This window comes from Homo sapiens, chromosome 18 (assembly GCF_000001405.40).
Source record: "Homo sapiens chromosome 18, GRCh38.p14 Primary Assembly".
NCBI classification, from domain to species: domain Eukaryota; kingdom Metazoa; phylum Chordata; class Mammalia; order Primates; family Hominidae; genus Homo; species Homo sapiens.
Window position 1 is genome coordinate 48,877,428 of NC_000018.10, and position 14,569 is coordinate 48,891,996.

Below are 14,569 nucleotides of genomic sequence, written 5' to 3' on the forward strand. Positions count from 1 at the left end.
TCACTCAGTAGGCATCAGGCACACAGTGAGAGCTACATCAATATTAAATGCTGGTGTTACTCTCTCATGTCCCCTGCCACCAACCCCCACCCCTGCTCTCTTCATCATTAGCCCCTCAGGGTTTCAAAAGCTCATATGGGCTCAAGGCAGCCCACTCCGTGTCTTGCTAACCGTGTGTGTACATGTTATCAAAATCTGGAAACTGCCGAAATTATACCCCTGATGGCAGGAACTCAGCTAGAATCTCAACATATGTCCCCACAGCTGCTTCTTCAGGAGCAACTGCTGAATAGCCACTGTCCCATCCCTGCCCCTCTTACCCCCCAGGACCAACCTCACCACAACTGCCCACATCTAGGAACTACAGGGTTAAAGGCGGGCACAGCTTGGCAGGGGTGGCCTCTGGGGTCCTGTTCCAGCTCAGTTCTCATAGTTGGTGCTGAGTGCTAATTTTTTGTTTGTTTGTTTGTTTGTTGGAGAGGCGAGGGCTCCCTATGTTGCCCAGGCTTGTCTTGGACTCCTGGCCTCAAGCAATCCTCTCACCTCAGCCTCCCAAAGCGCTGGCATTATGGGTTTGAGCCACTGTGCCCAGACCTAAATATTTTAAATATCATCCTGTCTTAGGCCACCTTTGCCCATGACCCAGCTACATTGATGGGGCAACCATGGCAGCATCATGTCAGGACCTTCTCCAAGTCCAGACACCCGGCAATGTGGCTTTCCCTGAGCCCAGCCACAGCAGGGAATACTCAGCCCCAGAGGACATTAGAGTCTCTCAGGGACTACCCTGGCCAAGGACCTTCCAGGAACACAATCCCTCCCACTCCTGTCACCCCTACCTCCCCCCGGAGCCATGGTGGGCTCAGGGGAGGCTTCTGGTCTGGGGGTTGGAGGATGTGCACTAAGTGAGTCATGTCACAGCTGGACATAAAATTACAATTTGGTTTTCTTGACTTTTCTTAAACATTTTCTCCCTCTTAAACTCCTCTAAGTTCTGAGACAGAATTATTGAACTCAACTGGGGTTGGGTGACAAGGAGGGTCTGGCCCCTGACTCCCTGTCAAAGGCTGTGCCCAGGGCCAGGCTAGGTCAGAGGACCTGTGGGATGAAGGGGCAGGACGGTGGCTCACAGCGCAGCGGGGTGGGCGAGGCCAGCAAGGTCTGCTACACTCTGTGTAGGAAGTGACCTTGTCAGGGCTGACCAGTGGGGAACAATACTGAGAAAGGCGGAGCCAGGAAGCCACCCGGTCACCTCAGGAACCCTGAGGTGGACGCAGAGGCCAAGGTCAGACTCCAGGTCTGCAGGAGCACCCCCGAACCTGGTCATGAACGGGTGTGAGCCTGTGTGTGAGAGAAAGAGAAAACAAATGTGCACACGACAGGGAATTTGGTGTGTGAGACAAGAGAGTGCTCGTGTTTTTGAGAGTGTGCGTCTAAGAAAAAAAAAATTGTAAGGATTTTGTGTGTGGGGTAGAATATGTACACGGAGAGACCTTTCTGATTCTGAGAGGATGTTCTTGTAGGTGGACTTGCTGATTCCGAAACTAAACAAGAATCTCCTCATCCTCAGGCCGGGGGCACCCAGGGCAGCCTGAGCAGGGAGAAGTTGCCCCGGCAGCCTCCTGTCTCCTTTCGAGGGACTGGTGGCGCCTTCCTGCCCCCTCCAACATGGACTCAGGGTCTTCGCTTCAAAGTGCTGAGCCGGGGCCTGGGAATTCCCACACACCCACCCCCGCCACCCCTGCCTCACCTGGCGGTTGCCTCAGAACCAGAAGCCACACAAATATGCCGCCGAGCCGGTGGGGCGGCTTTCCTGTCAGCGGCTGCCCTGAGAGGGCCAGATCTCCATTATTCATGGTCCTTCGGTGAGTGACACCCACCCCCTAACCTTGAGGGATTTTCGAGAATGCTGGCTGGAGGGCTCTGGGTACCCTGCTCAGGCTGGAAAAGGCTTCCCCTTCACACACTGGCTGGTTTCTCCAGTCGGCCCCCAACAAGCTGTGGGTGGCTTCAGGAAGCCCCTCCCTGGCCAGGCGAGGTAATGTTGGGAGACCGACAAGGCAACCAAACCCTATGCCCAAGATTCTTGACCTTTTGGGGAGGTCCCAGACCTCTCTGAGAGTCTGAGAAATTGAATAGATCCTTTCTCTAGAAAAATTCTCTACAAATTTTTACTGTAATGTCAGAAGCTTTTGAGTCCATTCCTCAGTTCCATATGGGTCCTCAGACCTTGGTTAAGGGCAATGGAACCCCCAACACCAAAGCGCTGAAATTGCCAAAATTATAGCCCTGGCAGCAGGAAACTCCACTAGAATCTCAACACATAGAAGATACTGGGAACATTCTGGTGAATGAACGTGTTCCCCACCAGCTGTGATGTGAGTGGTGAGCAGGCAGGACTCCCTGGAGTCTGGCCTCCACCACAAACAACTTTGGGACTTGAAGCTTTATTTATTCACTCAATGCTTCTTTTTGGTTTTGATTTTGGTTGGGTTGTTTTTGTTTTTGTGTTTTGTTTTTCTGGGATGGGAATCTCACGATGTTGCCCAGGCTGGAGTGCAGTGGCTATTCACAGATGTGACCACAGCACACTACAGCCTCGAACTCCTGGGCTTCAGCCATCCTCCCGGCTTAGCCTCCTGAGTGGCTGGGATTACAGGCTGCACTACCACACCTGGCTTCAGTGGTTGTTACTGCCTACAGACTTTGTGCCAGGCATGGCCATATGATGAGGATATAAAATAGATGTATAGACACATTTTCTGCCTTCATGTTGCTTATAGTCTAGGGTGAACGAGAAAATTAATTGAACACCTAAGTACATATGTAATTCTATGAAGTGGCCAGGGATTATGACTAAACCCCTAGGGCTTCAGTTTCCTCATCTATAAAATGAAGATAACTATAGTTACTTGCTAGTCTTTCTATGAGGATGAAATGAGACCACTTATGTTAAGCACTGAGCGTGGAGCCTGCACAAGAGGGAGCTACAGAAGGCATGGCGTGTGAGTGAGGCTGGTCAGCAGACAGAAGTGAGCCTGGCCACTCTGTGATGGCAGAGCCTTGGCAAAAACCAGGCCACTACCATCTTGACCAGCCTGGATGCTGGGGCTGGAAGGGTAGCCATTTTAGAGGCAGCCTCCAGGCCATGAACATCACTAGGCAGCAGCCAAGCCCTGTATGAATGGGGAGCAAGTGGTCAGAGTAGGAGGAGGCCAAAGCTGACCCTTTGAATGGCCAAGTTGAAGCAGGGGACTGGAATGACTTCTCAGCAGGGGTGGGTTTTAAGATCTGTGCCAATTTCTACTTCTGGCTACAGTAGACTAGCTTATATATCACACCAACTTTGCCACCAACCGAAAAAAGAGATAAAATACATTTTTAAAATTTGAATCTAGAAAGATGAGCTTAACATTTGGCCCTACTTTTCCCCTAAGCAGTAGCATGAAGTTCAGAATGTGAGCAGGAAGTGGAGACTGAGGTTTTTGCAACCTCCTGGAGTTAGAGAAAGAGGAAAGGGGAGAACTCAAGCATCTCCAAGTGGAGAGATGGCTTGTTTAGAAAAAAAAAAAACTGTCAGTTAGGACCCTTGAAGCACAAATCAGAAATAGGTCAGCCCTCACAAAGGTTGAAGTGCAGCTTCAAACAAACTTAATCCCACATGGGATTAAAGTGCGCTGCCTCTACTCTATCTCCCTTCCAGAGTCAAGAGTAAATCCTCTCTGGATTATTCAGAGCCTCAAATTATCTCTACAATCCTTCCATATACCATGTCTGGAAGTCAATAACATTTACCAGGCATGACAGGAGATAAGATCATATGACTGAAACTAAGAGGTGGAAAAAAAACACAGCTAATAGGAATAAACCTGAAGGAGATCCAGATATTATTATTTAAAATAGCAGACTTTAAAATAATTGTGATTGATATGTTCAAAAAAATTGGAGAGATAAATAATTTAAGGAGAACTGGAAACTCCTAAAGGTTATCAAATGGAAGTTCTAGGCAAATACAAAATACTACAAAAAATAATCATCATCATAATTAACAAGCAATGAATGGGTTTAACAGCAGATTAGATGTCACTAATAGAAGATTAGTGAACTGGAAAACAGGTCAGTATAAAATATTGAGCAATGAAGCACAATGAGAAAATCTGATAAAAAATAAAATCAGGGGCCAGGCACGGTGGCTCACACGTGTGGTCCCAATAGTTTGGGAGGCCGAGGCGGGTGGATCACCTGAGGTCAGGAGTTCGAGACCAGCCTGGCCAACATAGTGAAACCCCATCTCTACTAAAAATACAAAAATTAGCCAGGTGTGGAGGCAGGTGCCTGTAATCCCAACTACTCAGCAGGCTGAGGCAGGAGAATCACTTGAACCTGGGAGGTGGAGGTTACAGTGAGCCAAGATCGTGCCATTGCACTCCAGCCTAGGTGACACAGCAAAATTCTGTGTTAATAAATAAATAAATTAATTAATTAATTAAATCCGGGCACAAAAAGAGAATAACATTTTTAAATCCCTTAATTTACCCCCATAAAACACGGTATAAATGGTTTTGTATGGGGTGGGTGCGATGGCTTACACCTGTAATCCCAGCATTTTGGGAGGCTGAGGCAGGCTGATCACTTGAGCCCAGGGGTTCAAGACTAGTCTGGGCTCACTTGTCTCTACAAAAAACATAAAAATTAGCCAAGCATGGTGGTGTATGCCTGTAGTCCAGCTACTTGGAAGGCTAAGGTGGAAGGATCACCTAAGCCTAGGAGGTCAAGGCTGCAGTGAGCATGACTGTGCCACTGCACTCTAGCCTGGGCAACAGAGTAAGACCCTATCCAAAAATAAAATAAAGTAAAGTAAAAGGTTTCATATGTACAATATAGTATAGTGTTTGTATGTGAGCATAATATGGGATAATGGACAGTATGTAATAAAGACTACATATGCAAATTTACTTATGGCATTATTACATTAAAAATAAGGAGCTGGAAGTTTCATGCATTAAATGTAAATTTGATGAGACTCCATGGTGTATGAGACTCAGGGAGAGAATGGGCTTTGGAGGCCACTGCCCTGATCTGAAACGTGAGTAGGAGCCTCTGAGTAGTGGATTCTTCCTCATGCTCCTTGATCCACGGCACATGGGTGATCTCCCATTCCCCGCTGTGGCTCTCACCCCACTGACTGCTATGATCAGGCCCTGGCCTTCTTTCCATTCCTTAACCTGCTAATCTCTTTCCTGCTTCAAGGCCTTTTTACACACTGTTCCATGTGCCTGGATGCACTTGTCCATGCCCTTCTCACACCTACTTCTGCTCAGCCCTCAGGTCTCAGTTTATGTATCGCACCCTGTGTTTAGTGTATCCCCCCTTCACAGCAATGACTACATTAAGCAGTAATTTTATTTGTTTGTTTCCTTATCTCTCTTCTATGAATTGCCTCTGCTACTTAAAACAGCTCCTATAGAGCCCCGAATATTATCATCACCATTAGTTTGAGACTAGAAGTGCCAACACTCAGTCATTCACTCGCAAAATGCTTGTTGAGCATGTACTCTGTGCCAGGCGAGGTGAAGACACTGGGGCTACAGGAGGAACAAAACAGACAAACATTCTACTCTCATAGATCTGGAAGAGACAGACATAAACAAACATTAGACTTGTCAGGGGGTGCTGAGTGCAGCTAGGCAACTGCAAAAAGGATGTAGAGGATGAAAAAGAAGGAGAGGCCAGGTGTGGTGGCTCACGCCTGTAATCCCAGCACTCTGGGAGGCCAAGGTGGGTGGATCACCTGAAGTCAGGAGTTCGAGACCAGCCTGGCCAACATGGTGAAACCCCATATCTACTAAAAATGCAAAAAACTAGCCAGGTGTGGTGGCGGGCGCCTATAGTCCCAGCTACTCAGGAGGCCGATACAGGAGAATCGCTTGAACCCAGGAGGCGGAGGTTGCAAGTGAGCCGAGATCATGCCACTGCACTCCAGCCTGGGTGACAGAGCAAAACTCCATCTCAAAAAAAAAAAAAAAAAAAAAGGAGAGGTGCCACTTTATATGGAAGAGCCATCAAGACCTTGCCTATAAGGGGGCATTTAAGCAAAATGTTGATGGAAAGGATAATCCTAGCCATGAGGATTTCTGAGGGAGGAGCCTTCTGGAGCTTCAGAAGGGGATTTGTTATGCTTGGAAAAGTAGGAGATTGTGTTTGTGTTGATTTGGTTTCCAAAACAAATTGTCTCTTGTGATTTAATAATATAAATCAAAAGCCTTAAAATATGTGTACTCTTTGACCTACAAGTCCACTTAGGAATTCAGCCACAGGGAAAACAATGTACACATATATTTATGTATAAGGATATTGACTAAATAGGGAAGATAAAAAATATGGAAAGAATACAGATGTCCAACATTAAGGAAGTGGTTAAGTAAATTAAGATCATCCATACAATGGAACACTGTGCAATTATTAAAAAGATTTAGAAGAATATCTGAAGATGTAGGAAAATGTTCATCACCAATTGTTAGATAGTGATCTGTATCTATCCAAGTATCATTTCGAGAAGAAAAAATATATGTGTAGGAAACTTCAAATGCATACACATCAAAAGTTGACAGCAGTTATTAACAAGTGATAGAATTATGGTTAATTTCTGCCTTTTCTTTCTTTATGCTTTTCCATTGTCAGAAGTTTTTGTATTGAGTGCATACCTTGTTAACGTTGTAATTTTAAAATATTACTTAGTAAAGCTAACTGTCCCTAATATATATTCATTTATGCACGAAGAGGTATGTATTGAGTGCCTATTTGGTGCCAGGTGCCAGGATAATAATTTTCTAGTGATAATGAACAAGTAAATAAACCCACTAAGCCACTCTCATCCTTTGATAAGTGCCAGGAATGGGCCTGGGGGAAGGGGTGAAGGTCTGCAGGCTTCCACTTGGATGGTGGAAAGACAGAGGCTCCAGGGAGTTGTGAGGGTATTCTGGAGGCCAGAGAAGGAAGCTGTGCTTCCCTTTCCTGGGTGAAGTCAGAGGCCTGGCCAACAGTGAGTGGCAGGGGGTGAGAGGTTTCAGGAAAGTGTGAAGCCTTGAGGGACAGCAGATCCCTGCCACGCACACCAGCCTTGCCAGGCAGCAAGGACCCCACTTCGAGGTTGTGATCATGCACAGAAGGGGACCCGATCAGCCCGGCCACAGGGGTTTCTCCAGCAAAGTTCAGCTCTTGGGGGAAATAGCTGAGTTCAACTAAGGTTGAGATTCCCCAAATAGACACAGGAGAAGGAGGAAAGAGGAGCCAAAAATGGTGAGGCTGGAAAACTGTCACGACTGAAAGTCAATGTCTAGAGTTAGAGACCTGGGAAGGAAGGAGGGGTGGTCAGAGAAAGAGAAGCTTGACATCAGGGTTCAGAGGTGGTGCAGTTTCTGGTGGTGATGAGGGTACGGTATGACCCTGGGACTGTGTGACAGGATGAGGTGGCCAGAAGTGAGGTCGCCAAGGGACTGAGACATGGACAGTAGTCCCCTATGTGGAAAGTCCCAAGATGCTAGTGACAGAGCCAGCCTCCCAAGAGATGGAGGAGAGTGGCCAGGAAGTTAGGAAGTAACAGCAAGGAGGGGACAGAGAGAGTGTGTGGCCTGGGGCAGGGTGGTGGGTGAGCTTCGGAAAGAGCTGGGGGTTCCAAAAAAAGAGGGAGGAGAGATGCTGGAAGTACCAGTGGGAGCAGAAATGGCACCCAACCACGTGTTGGTTCTGAGATAGATGCAGAGTAGAGAAAACCAACCTCCACTGGGAAGGTTTCAGGGAAAGCACTGTCCTCGAGGGAGCGCCTCGGGTGAACACCCAGCACCATGGAGGCGAGCCACAGGGCCTTGGGGGCCACCGAGACCAAAGAAGAACTTAAGTTCTGCAACAGACTCAGAGAGATCCGCCCCAGGGCACAGCACCCAGGCCTCCTGCCTTCCAGTAGGGGCTCTCAGCCCTGCCTCCCAGGAGGAGAAGAGGCATGGCGGAGCGGGGGGGCCTTCTGCCTGACTCCAGAGGCACTGCTGGACCCCACAGAGGCTGAGCATGGCCTCCTGACTCACTGGCCCTAGATGACAGAACATTCCCTTTCCCAAACATTCCATTGTGTTTTAATGCAGTGCTGGACTTGTTAAAAGAGTAAATTTAGCTTTTATGGGAAGAGGCAGCCGGGCTTGGTCAGGGAGGCTAAGGCGGGCCAGGGGTGCCATGGCAACCCCCAGCCTCCCAAGATGGGCCTGAGAAGACGCCTCCTGGCCCCGGCACCTCCCCACTTTCCTTACCTGCCACCACCTTCCCTTGCCACCTCTCATCGTCCCTGTGAGAGGTGAAGGCAGGATGGGGTGAGGGAGAGGGGCTGGCAGGGAGAACAGGAACCCCAGGTCCCACCAGCAGTGAGACTGCATGAGGACAGCCCACTGCTCCTCCCTGGGCCTCATCTGTGAAGCGGGTAAAATTCAGGGAAGAATACTTTGCTCAGAGGGTGTTGTGAGGCCTTCAAGAAATGCTCACCCCCTTCACATACCCTAAAGGGCAGACCAGACAAAAGCAGGGCTGAGACTCCCAACAGAGCAGGGAGAAGAGGACCCGATGAAGTCCCAGGCCCCGGGCAGCCGCGGGGGAGCGTGGGTAGGTAGGATGCTCTTTTGTCCATGGTGAGTGTCCTCCTGACTCCAGCACTCCTTGGTTTGCTCAGTCCTGATTCTAGGGCCAGTCAGGGCTCAGCATGAGGGGCCCAAGAGTCCTAGGATTCCAGAGCCTCAGAGGGAGCTCAGAGGAGTGTTACGTGTTAGCCAGGGTGCCCAGATGCCCCCACAAGATGGGATCATGCATGCAAGGATTTTGTTAGGGGAAACTAGGTAAAAGAATATGGGGAAGGAGATGGCAAAGTCTGGGTGAGCCCTTACAGCTGGGGGCACATGGGGCCTGAAAGTTAAAGACTGGGCCAGGCACGGTGGCTCACACCTGTAATCTCAGAACTTTGGGAGGCTGAGGTGGGCAGATCACTTGAGGTCAGGAGTTTGAGACCGGCCTGGCCAACATGGTGAAACCTCATCTCTACTAAAATACAAAAAATTAGCAGGTGTGGTGGCACGCGCCTGTAATCCCAGCTGCTCCAGAGGCTGAGGCAGGAGAATTGGTTGAACCCAGGAGGTGGAGGAGGCAGTGAGTCGAGACTGTGCCACTGCACTCCAGCCAGGGTAACAGAGCAAGACTCTGTCTCAAAAAAAAAAAAAGAAAGAAAGAAAGAAAGAAAGAAAGAAGAAAAGAAAGAAAGTGAAAGACCAAGGAGGAAAGGCCAGGTGAAAGTATCCTAGACCGCTGAGATCTAAGGAAGGTGGGCAAGTCCACCTAGAGTCATTGAGCCAAAGCCAGCCCCTGGGAGTCTGGTGTTTTCCAGCAACCAGCCTGCCTCAGTGTCCCTGCCAGGCTGAACAGCAGCCTGTGGGCTGGGATCAGCCTGCAGGACACACAGCCAGGGGGCCCCTCAATCAGTTCTGTTCCCGTGCTTAGTCAGAAGATGCCCATCCAACATCTCCTCCTTTTCCTGCAGGGCCACAGGCAGCAAGATCAGCCTCTCTGTGCCTCCCTTTCCTTGGCAACAAGGCACCCACCTCAGAGGGAAGGAGTGAGGAGTCTGTCACTACTAGCGGAGAGCAACTCACAGGGCCTAGTTAGTAGGTTTGCACGTGGGGGGTCCCCCTTACTCCTGAGGTTGACACACACAGGAGTTCTCAACTAGGGAAAGAAACGAGCCCCTGCATCTGCTGCTGCTGGCAGGGGGACACACAGACCTCTCCCCTTCTCCCATCTCTTCTCCTCCTTTCTTACTACCCCTCTTCACCATTTCCTATCAGAGCATCTCCCAGACTGGCAGCCACCTCCTCTGGGAAGCCTTCCTGGCCTTCAGCCACACAGCCCTCTCCCTCCTTGGAATCCCACCACCCAGGAAGGTACCTCAGTGGTTTCAATGCCTCATCCCTGCTCAGCGTTGAGCTCCTGAGAGGCCTGTCCTGCCTTCTACCTCCCTGAGCACTGGCAGAGCACACAGAAGTCCCTGGATTGATGGGCAAGTCCTCGGAATGCCAAGCCAGCCATTGGGCACAGCCTGCTGCGGTGGGGGCAGGGAGAGATTATTTATAGGCCCTGATTCTATTAATTAAGTTCATTGCCTGCCTCGTCTGCTTCCTGAGCCTGTGTAAGTGTTCCAGTCTGCCCTTTGTACGCACATGACCTCAGAGCAGGTGAGCAGGACTGGAAGGTGAACTGAGGGCCAGGCGCTTAACCCAACTAGCGGCATCTCCAGGCCGCGACATCAGGCGTAGGGACTCGACTCTCCCACCTGAGGTCATGAGGCCTGGGGAGACAGGCCCCACCTCTCTAAAACATCTGCCCTTGCCGGAATGAGATGAGGGTTAGGCTGCTGGACAGTGGGCCCTACTTTCAGGATGAGGTGAGAACCCCACCTCTCCCATCCTCTTCCTGTGGGAATAGGGCCAGGGCACACGCATGGTGCTCCTGGAGCAGAGGGCCCCAGGGGAGCCCTTCCTCCCCCACAAGGAGCCGCAGGCCTGGGCTACAGGGACAGCACCTCATGCTTTGTAGTTCCTTTTCACATCTGTCACCATGCAGGCCCTGAGACACTCCTGGGAGAAGGAGACAATACTATTGTTCCCACAGTGCAGAAAAGGAAGCCGGAGCGCAGAGAGGGGAAGTGTTTAATCCAAAGGCACAGTTACTAGGAGATTTGCACCAAGCTTGGAATCCTAGGCTCCTTCTGCTGCCCGCCACCTGCCGGGAGAGGCAGGACGGGGCTGCTCGCCGGCACCCCTTTCCCTCCCGGCAGCCCCGCACGCACGGCTTTCCTCTGGGCCTGTTTCCTCAGGTGTGAAATGCTGGTGGCAGCACCTACCTTACAGGCATGCTGTGAGGCTGGCACAGAGGGGGCTGTCATAGAGAGGGACATCCGCACCTTCCCAGTAAGAAGACCTCTCTCCGCCCCCCTTCTCCTGAGAAGCTCTGTCCTCCCCTCAGCCTGTCCAGCCCCCCAGCAAGGGGTCAAGTCCTGGGCTGCAGGGTGGAAGTAGAGCTGTTCTTCCAGCAACCCCATCACCCAGCTAGGAACCCCCAGCACACACACAGGCGTGTTTGAGCACACTAGCTGCATTCAGGGCTGCTGAACAGGTGTGGCCCACAATTGAACGTGTGCTGAGCCCTTTGTTCCATGTTCTGGGGAGAATCAGGTTCACAACTGTCTTAGCCCCTTGTGTGCTGCTGTCACAGAACACCTGGGAGTAGGGGATTTATAAGGAACAGAAACGTGTCCTCACAGTTCTGGAGACTGGGAAGTCCAAGATCAAGGTGCTGGCGGGTTAGGGCCTGGTTTCTCTGCTCCCAAGACGGTGCCTTGAACACTGCATCATCTGGAGGGGAGGAATGCCGTGTCCTCACATGGCAGAAGAGCAGAAGAGAGGGGGAGCCCACTCCCACAAGCCCTTTTTATAGCGGCATTAATAACACATGAGTTTTGGAGGCGGCAAAAACATTCAAACCATGGCAACAACCAACCCATTGACCTGCTGTGCCCTCAAGCAGGGCCTCTGCTCCACTCCCAAGGCCCCCAGCATCCCTGCCATGCCCCCTCACCTTTCCCCACAACCTGGGTTCTCTGACCTAGCCAGGTACAAATGGCTTGGTCTTTTCCCAAGGCCACAGCCGTCGGATAAATGCACCTCTATGGAAACAGAAGTATGTTTTTCAGGGAGGCCTGACCTGAAGACAAACTAAGTCTTTTCCTCCTTTCTTCTCCAGGGAGAGTCTGCCTCTCCCTGCCTGTGTGACCTTGGGCAAATCACTTCCCCTCTCTGGGCACAAGGAGTGCTGTCCACAAGCTCCCTGCCCCTGTAAAGAAAAGCTGGGGGCTTGGTTTGGGAGTCCTGGAGGGGGTTGGGAGGGCCTTTCCAGGTCTCTGAAAGCCAATTTCTTCCTTCTGTCAAGGGAGGGGGTGTGAGCCCTCTCCAAGGCCCTAGGGGCCCCTGCATTCCAAGCCATCTCAGCCCTAAGATCCGTGTGGACCAGAGGCAGTGGGAGAGGGGAGGATGGGCGGCCTGGCCTGAGAACTGCATGGCTTGCCAGCTCCCTCCTGCTTTAGCAGGGCCGGCCTCCCGGGGGAGGGGCTGCCATCTGACCCGCTGGCTCTCTCCAGCTGGCGGGAGGCGTCTCGGGCGTTGGTTCCCAGGCAAGGTCAGCAGGGCCCATCCATCACCGTGGCCTCCCTGCTCCCCATCAACCCACCTGCCGCGCACTCTGCACCCTGCTCCTGCTGCCTTCCTGGGGCCCGACCTCCCCAACTCCATCCGAGCCTCCCCACATGAGGCCCAGCCTGGGAACAGTCCCAGAGGGCCCCCCGAACTGTGACATCTACAGGTTGGGTCACCCCTCGTGCCTATTTCCTGGACCACCTGGACCACTGCCACCCACTCCACCCAGAGAATGTGGGCCTCAAACAGCCACAGTGGTTTGGCTCTCCTGGACCCTCCTTGGCTCTCCCTGTAGTAACAAAGTCCCCAAAGAGGACTTTGTTTGCCTCAAAGCATCCACCCAGCCTGGCTGGGTCCTTCTGCCATGCACTGAGCTGCTCCAGCGGCATTAACATAGAATCAATGAAGCCCAATTACGCCTGGTTTCAGCGCAGCCGCCCCTCCTGCTTGCCCCTTTTTCCTGGCCACTTCTTATTCCTGCAGGGTCTCAGGCACCCTAACTGCCGGCCTCCCCCTCTCTGCCCTGCCAGCAGCTCCAGATCCCAGAAAGCCCTGCTGGGGCCCTGCTGTGTCTCAGTTTCCCCAGTGTCTGCCACTCATTGCTTGTTGAATGAATGTGTGAGTGAGTGCATGAATAAGTAAACCAATGAAGGGGGACATTTGCATCTCAACAGTTTTGGCACAAGGCCTAGGCCCTAATAGAAAGAGACTGCAGTAAGCCTCAAGTCAAAGTAATGAAACACCAGGGAACTGAGTGGACCAGGACTGGCAGGGCACTGAGACATTTGTGGGGCGTGGGGTGGTGAACAGTGGCCTTGGGTCTGGGTGGGGGGCACGCCACAGGGTTGAGACACTTAGTTTCCAGACCCAAAACTACTTGTAGTTAGGCATCGGGTATGTGCCGCAGAAGTTCCGAGTCTGCGTAGAATGTAGCCTTGGGAACCATCGGGGCAGCGTGCCTCTCCTCACAGGGGGCTAGGAACCATGTTTTCATTTTTTCCCACCAGTAACCCTGTAAGGCAGACCTGCCTATCTCCATTTTACAAATGAAAGAATTGAGGCTCAGAAAAGTTACTCTACCCAGGAGCACTCGGTGAGAATGTGGTTGAGTCAGGATTTGAACCCCAGGTCTCACCTCACTCCAAAGCCATTCCTCTTTCTCCTGAGCCTCATTGCCTTCTGCCTCAAATACAGTCCTCCTACTTCTGGCTTCTCCCAGTGACCCTGAGGGCAGTGAGAAGTGGCTGAATGTGGCCACCGAGTCTGTGGTCACCCTCCAGAGGAGATCTGAAAGGGCCAAGCTCTCTGACCAGCCCCCTGAAGCTGTCTCTACCTTGGCCAGCCCAGGGCCCTGTGACCTTCCCAGTCAGATGCATAGAAGATCCCCAGCTGGCAGTCAGGAGGCCCAGGTCCTCATCTCAGCTTGGCTGCCTGCTAGCTCTGAGCCCTTCCAGCTCTGCTGTCTCTTGAAACCATGACAACACATTTGCAGGTACAGACAGAAGACAGACAGACAAGGCCAGGCGTAGTGGCTCATGCCTGTAATCCCAGCACTTTGGGAGGCTGAGGTGGGCTGATCACTTGAGGTCAGGAGTTCAAGGCCAGCCTGGCCAATATGGTGAAACCCTATCTCTACTAAAAATATAAAAATTAGCTGGGCGTGGCGGCAGGTGCCTGTAATCCCAGCTACTTGGGAAGCTGAGGCAGGAAAATTGCTTGAACCTAGGAGGCAGAGGTTGCAGTGAGCCGAGATCACACCACTGCACTCCAGCCTGGGGGACAAGAGCAAACTATCTCAATAAAATAAAATAAAATAAAATAAAATAAAATAAAATAAAATAAAATAAAATAAAATAAAATAAAATAAAATAAAATAAAATAAGACAGACACACACACACACACATACACACTTTCCTTCTGGGCCAGTTAGGGTTGCCATTTTCTTAGCTACCCAAACTCAGCCCAATTATGTGGCAAAAAAAAGTGGTCTCTGGGCACCAAAGGACACCTTCCCAACCCAGAAGTCTCAGCCTGGCACACCCTCAGGTAGTGACCCCAGGTCACCATGAATTCTGGAAAGCTCATGTCTCTCAAGCCAATTCTAAACTTTTGAATTTCACCTCATTCCTTCATTCATTGACCATCTCCTGAGCATCTTCTATACCCAAGACTCCAGGCAGGGAGGCAGAGGACCTAAAGCCAGGACTCTGCCTTCCCAAGCTCCCCGCATGGGAGGAGGGGGCAGGAGGCCGGCAGTCTGGAGTCAGATCGCCTGGCTTCAAACCCCGGC

General features: G+C 51.2%; 1 annotated feature.

Annotated features, from left to right (window-relative positions):
* Nucleotides 304-534: a silencer, noted in NCBI's record as "fragment chr18:46404101-46404331 (GRCh37/hg19 assembly coordinates)". NCBI's record gives its function as "represses an EF-1alpha promoter that drives an FKBP-Casp9 reporter gene in an ReSE screen in HepG2 liver carcinoma cells {active_cell/tissue: HepG2}" and the evidence as "EXISTENCE:reporter gene assay evidence [ECO:0000049][PMID:32094911]".